The sequence below is a fragment of the Homo sapiens genome, chromosome 7, assembly GCF_000001405.40.
Source record: "Homo sapiens chromosome 7, GRCh38.p14 Primary Assembly".
NCBI lineage: Eukaryota > Metazoa > Chordata > Mammalia > Primates > Hominidae > Homo > Homo sapiens.
Window position 1 is genome coordinate 47,211,254 of NC_000007.14, and position 5,048 is coordinate 47,216,301.

The 5,048-nt window shown below is 45.5% G+C and overlaps 1 annotated feature.

Annotated features, from left to right (window-relative positions):
- Positions 405–554: an enhancer, noted in NCBI's record as "active region_25975". NCBI's record gives its function as "activates an Ori minimal core promoter by ATAC-STARR-seq in GM12878 lymphoblastoid cells {active_cell/tissue: GM12878}" and the evidence as "EXISTENCE:reporter gene assay evidence [ECO:0000049][PMID:35858748]".

Below are 5,048 nucleotides of genomic sequence, written 5' to 3' on the forward strand. Positions count from 1 at the left end.
TACTAGACTCTCAGCTAATTTCTTCAGGATTATAAAATGTAAATTTCCCCCACAAGAGACAGCTTTGCAGGGCCATTTTAAAATATGTTAAAGAAACATATTTTGGGGTAAAATATTTGATTTCTTTCAGGTCCTGCTATCTGTCATGTTGGTATCTTATTGCTGCGAAGAGTCTCCTTTGTCAGTCTTAAGATCTCTGTTTCAATGTTAACGTTGGTCAGTTGTGCTTGAATTCCAAAAAGAGGAGAGTATAATGAGGCATGCCTGACCACCCTGCCCATCATGGCCTGAACTAGTTTTTCAGGTTTCTTCAAAATCTCTTTGCCTGGGACAAGGGGTCCATTCTGTTGGTTGGGGAACTTAGAATTCACTTTTGGTTTCAATCCCAACATGCGGCCCCATGGCTGCCACAGCAGATAAGAGTCAGAAGTGACACCTGAGAACTCTGCTCACAGCCTGGTGGCTGGAGGCACTCACGTGACAGTGTCTGCCTGCATGAGGTCTGGGGAGGAGACTCTTCCATATGTCAGCAAGGAGTGGAGAAGAGAACAAGTGAGTTTGAGGGAGCTCTACCACAAACACGAGTGATTTACATTTTTATTTGGCTCAGTCTCTGCCGACATGAGCATGCTGAGTGTCAAACATTTCTCTAACGCTTCTTTTCTTGTCATTTTAATTTGTGATTTTGGTTTCAGGACAAATATTGCTTTTCACATACTTGGCAACTTACTTATTTGGATTACAGAGTGGCCTTCACTTAGTATTCACTTGAAAGAAAAGGAATATTTTTAAATAGTCATTCTATTGATTTAGTAGCAGCACTGTAACATAAAAGAAAAATGTTCTGAAAAAGATCTTGCCATGTGGTTAGGGATTGCAGATTCCAGCCTCCTAAATCCCAGTTGACATGGCACAGAGAACTTCAACACAGAGAATCCAATTTTTGCTTCTCCAGCCTCCACCTTTAACTCTGCCTGACACACTCCTGACCACATTCTCACCTGTCCACAAGGGTGACCTGTAATCTCCCCTGTGCTTCCTTCCTCCTCCAGGTGTCTTCATAGTTCTCTGGTGCCCAGCCCTTCTGGTGCCAGAGGGTGTTTAGCTTGCTGCTGTAGAGTCCAGTCTAGTGTCTATGGCTGCGTCTCCAGGCATCTGGCTTGGGTTTACCTTCCCTACTCTCCCACATTTTGTAAGGACTTGACAGTCACCCAAGATTCTACTCCCAACCTGGTCCCCTCATCTTCAAAATGATAAGTGCATTTAGAAGCCACTTCTACCCACATCCATCGACAAGCATGAGGTCAGTGTGGGAGTTTATACTGACAATCGCTACTACTGAGAAACTGGGGTAGGAGAACTTAAAGTCCAAGTTCAGTATCCAGGGCCAGGAGATGTACACTCAGGGATGCCTCGTCTCTGTTACTTGAAAAGAATCCAGTTCTGAGCTCCTCTTTTTCAAGGTTAGCAAGAGCACCCATCACTCGTGAGGTCTCTCTTGTGATTTCCATGAGTGGCACTAGAACCCCAGGGCTTACATGATTCTGGATGAGTGTGGGGCTCTCTCTTGTGACCACAGCATCTCTAAAGGCCAAGTGTCCTTGTTCAAGTGTCCTCCTCCATCCTAGGTCAAACACTGCTGCCCCGGGTAGACGGAGGGAAGACCCACTGATCTCTTTCCAAATTGGATGTATTCCTTCTACTCCCAGAGTCCCTCTGCTTGTGATAGACACTACAGGCATTCTCTGGGATCTGTCCACGAGTGTGAGGTCATCTTCCAGAACGTGTGGAACCCAACACCCCATTTCCTATCCCATCCAGGGGAACCCAACACCTTTGAATTGTCTGGCTACACCACATCTTACTTGAAAACCACCAAAGTTTCCCCTAAGTCGATTTTTCTTGATTCCACGAAGGGTCCTATAGCCCTGAAAAATGGAGACCTCCCCACTGGGATTACTCCTGAGGGCAAGAAATGCAATAGTAATCTCTTATGTCACCAAGAATGGCCAATGGGCTTCTTCTCAAAGAACACAAATTAATATACACCTTGAGTTGGCATGCCCTGCTACTTGAACTTTCCGTGATTTCATCTCATTACGCTGTGCTGGGAAAAGAACCCACAACTACAAGACACAGCACCTTCCACTGAGTGCCTTTTAGGCATCCAGCACATGTATCAGGCATAGTCTTGATAATCCTGACAAATTCCCTCGAAGCCAGGAATGTTTTCTTCCCCATTTTATAGATAAGAAAAGGGCAGCTCAGACAAGGAGGATTCGTAAGCTCATAGGTCCTGAATCAGGATGTATACTCGGGCCTCCACACTGGTCAGGAGTTGCTGACCAACACAGGGTCTCACTGCCTGGGACCCCAGACTCACCACCCAGCTGCACCCACCAGGAGTGATGGGGCCTTGGCACCTCCTAAAGCTCTATGGCCACATTTCCAGATAAGAAGACAGACAGACAGACAGAGAGAGAGAGAGAGAGAGATTGATTTACTTTAAGGAATTGGCTTACAAAGTTTTGACAGCTGGCAAGTCTGAAATCCTTAGGGCAGGCCAGCAGGCTAAAAATTCAGGTAAAAGCCTTGAATCTGAAATCTGCAGAGGAGACCCAGCAGGCAGGGATTTTATCTTGTAATCTTGAAGCAGAATTGCTTCTTCTTCGGAAAACCTCCATTTTTGTTCTCAAGGTCTTCATCTGATTGAATGAGGCCCACCCACATTACAAAGGGTCATCTTCTTTACTCAAAGTCTACTGATTGAAATTGAATCACCTCTAAAGAAAATCTGCATAGCAATATCTAGACTAGTACTTGAGCAAACAACTAGGCACCATGGCCTGGCCAAGTTGGTTCAAAATTAACCATAGTCCCTGTGCTAAGAGGACAGAGAAAAATGAGGTTGCAAGTGTTTTTCTACTTAAGATGGCTCCCTCTGACAGTCGCAAGCATGACTGGGAAGCCATCTAGTCTGCAGGTGCCAGGTGGAGCTTGGAGTCCAGGCTGGCTCAGACTCTGTGCTGGCTCCGTCCGGCTGTCCTGACTCAAGGATCCAGCTGAGGACACCCTCTAGTTGCAGGCTTTCAACTTGGGGACTTTTTCTTTCAATTTGTTTGGTTTTGTTTCCAGATATTTGAGGATGTATTTATTCTGCTTTAAATACACTCAAACCGTTGCAACGCTGCCATGCTTTCATATATTCTGGGGTTCTGACTTATGCTGTCTTTAATCACTTTCCCTCTTTCCATCCATCTTGCTAATCTCCAAGTTTACTGCTTTCATTTTTTCCATTTTTTAACTATCTATTCATGACAAGCAGTGTCTTCATAGTTATGAGCCTTTGTTTATAACCCTTATATTCATTTAGCTCTTTCTCAGCTCCATGGGTATTTTTCTCTGTCCTCTGTCCTAGAATTTCATTTCTTTTATGATTTGTTTCTAGGCCAATTTTCTGTCTCACTAGCTTGAGTCATCTTTCCCTGCTTTTGTGGAGACGTTTATTTAGTGCATTGGTTTTTAAATTTTGTATTTTAACTGTTCCTCCTTTTCATCATTTATTTTAGTCTATTTTTTTCTACTCAATTCTGATAGCACTTTTGCTTTAATGATTACTTCCTTTATTATTTCTGTTCATGATTATTTCTCTTATTATTTTCTCAAAATTTATTTTTATTATTTATTTTTATATGTCTGTTTGTCTCTTTCATGTGAAAGCTAGGGCTTGAATGTGGCTGTAGCCAAGGCAGGACAAGAATTTTGGCACACATGCTAACATAAACTGCATTCTTATTATCTTCTGTATTTTTTCATTTAAATTCAGTGTCTATTTTATACATGGTACTATCCTTAAATCACAGAGATGTATCCTCATGGAACAAGGCAAGAGTGGTTATGAAGCCCCTGCCTGGAGAAGAGATTGTGCAAAAGTGGACTGGCTGAGGCGGTGCTTCTCAGGGGAGTCCCCTAGGGAGGCTGCTAGTCAGTGTTATTCCTGCGCCCGCCCAGCCTCCTGCCCCAGATCTTGAAATGTCCCCAGATGGCTCATGTTCACAGAAGGTCCGAAGCCCCCAGTTGTAAGTGTCTCTTGCCTCCCACTGGCTTCCCATCCCCCCACTTTGTGTACCCCCACAAGAGACCCCCACCCCACTGGGCACTGAGACTCCCAGAGCTCTTCAAGGTGGGCTTCTTTCCCATGACATTCCAGTTCTTTGCCAAGTGGAGGGGGCTGGTGCTGAGCCGCTGAAACCATGTTGTTACGACCAAGATATCATGGGTCTGATCTCTGTGCTCCCTGGAAGGGACTGAGTACCCAAACACCCATCCACCCTTGCTTGCAGTCTGGGTTGCAGTCTGACCAGGAGCAGGGCAGACGGCTGCAGTCTCAGGCCGGGAGCCTGAGAGAGATTCTTAGTCCCCAGTTACTCCCCAGGAGCAGCACCGTGGTACCAAGCCCAGAACGGGCAAGGTGGGAGAGTGAAGATGTGCGGTCAAGAAAGCCCCAGAACTCCCTGAGACCGTGGACAGCTGAGGCCTGAGGAGTTTCTAGAACCTCAGCAGCTGCAGAGGCATCTGGGCTGATTCCACAGCCTGTCCCCTGGAGCTTCCAAGCCAATGCTGGAACCAGGTCTAGACTGGGAGCCTTGTAAGAAACTGAACGATGTAAAACGTGCCAAGAGTGTACTATTTGATTAAAGGAGAGAGGAGATAAGAAAATATCCAGGAAGCAGATGCTGTTACCCAGCTTCTCATCTCAATAAAAAACATGAGATGAGGATTAATCTTTTATAACCTGGTTACCATTCCCCAGGCCCAAAGTTGATCACTCTCAAGGATAATGAATGAATTTATATCACTGTCTTAGTCAGTCAGGGCTGCCATACAAAGCACCACAGACTGGGGGCTTAAACCACAGACATTTATTCTCTCCCTGTTCTGGAGACCGGAAGTCCAAGATCAAGGGGCGGCTGGGGCGTTTTCTGCCGAGGCCTCGCTCCTGGCTTTGTAGATGCCATCTTCTCCCTGTGTTCTCATGTGGTCTTCCC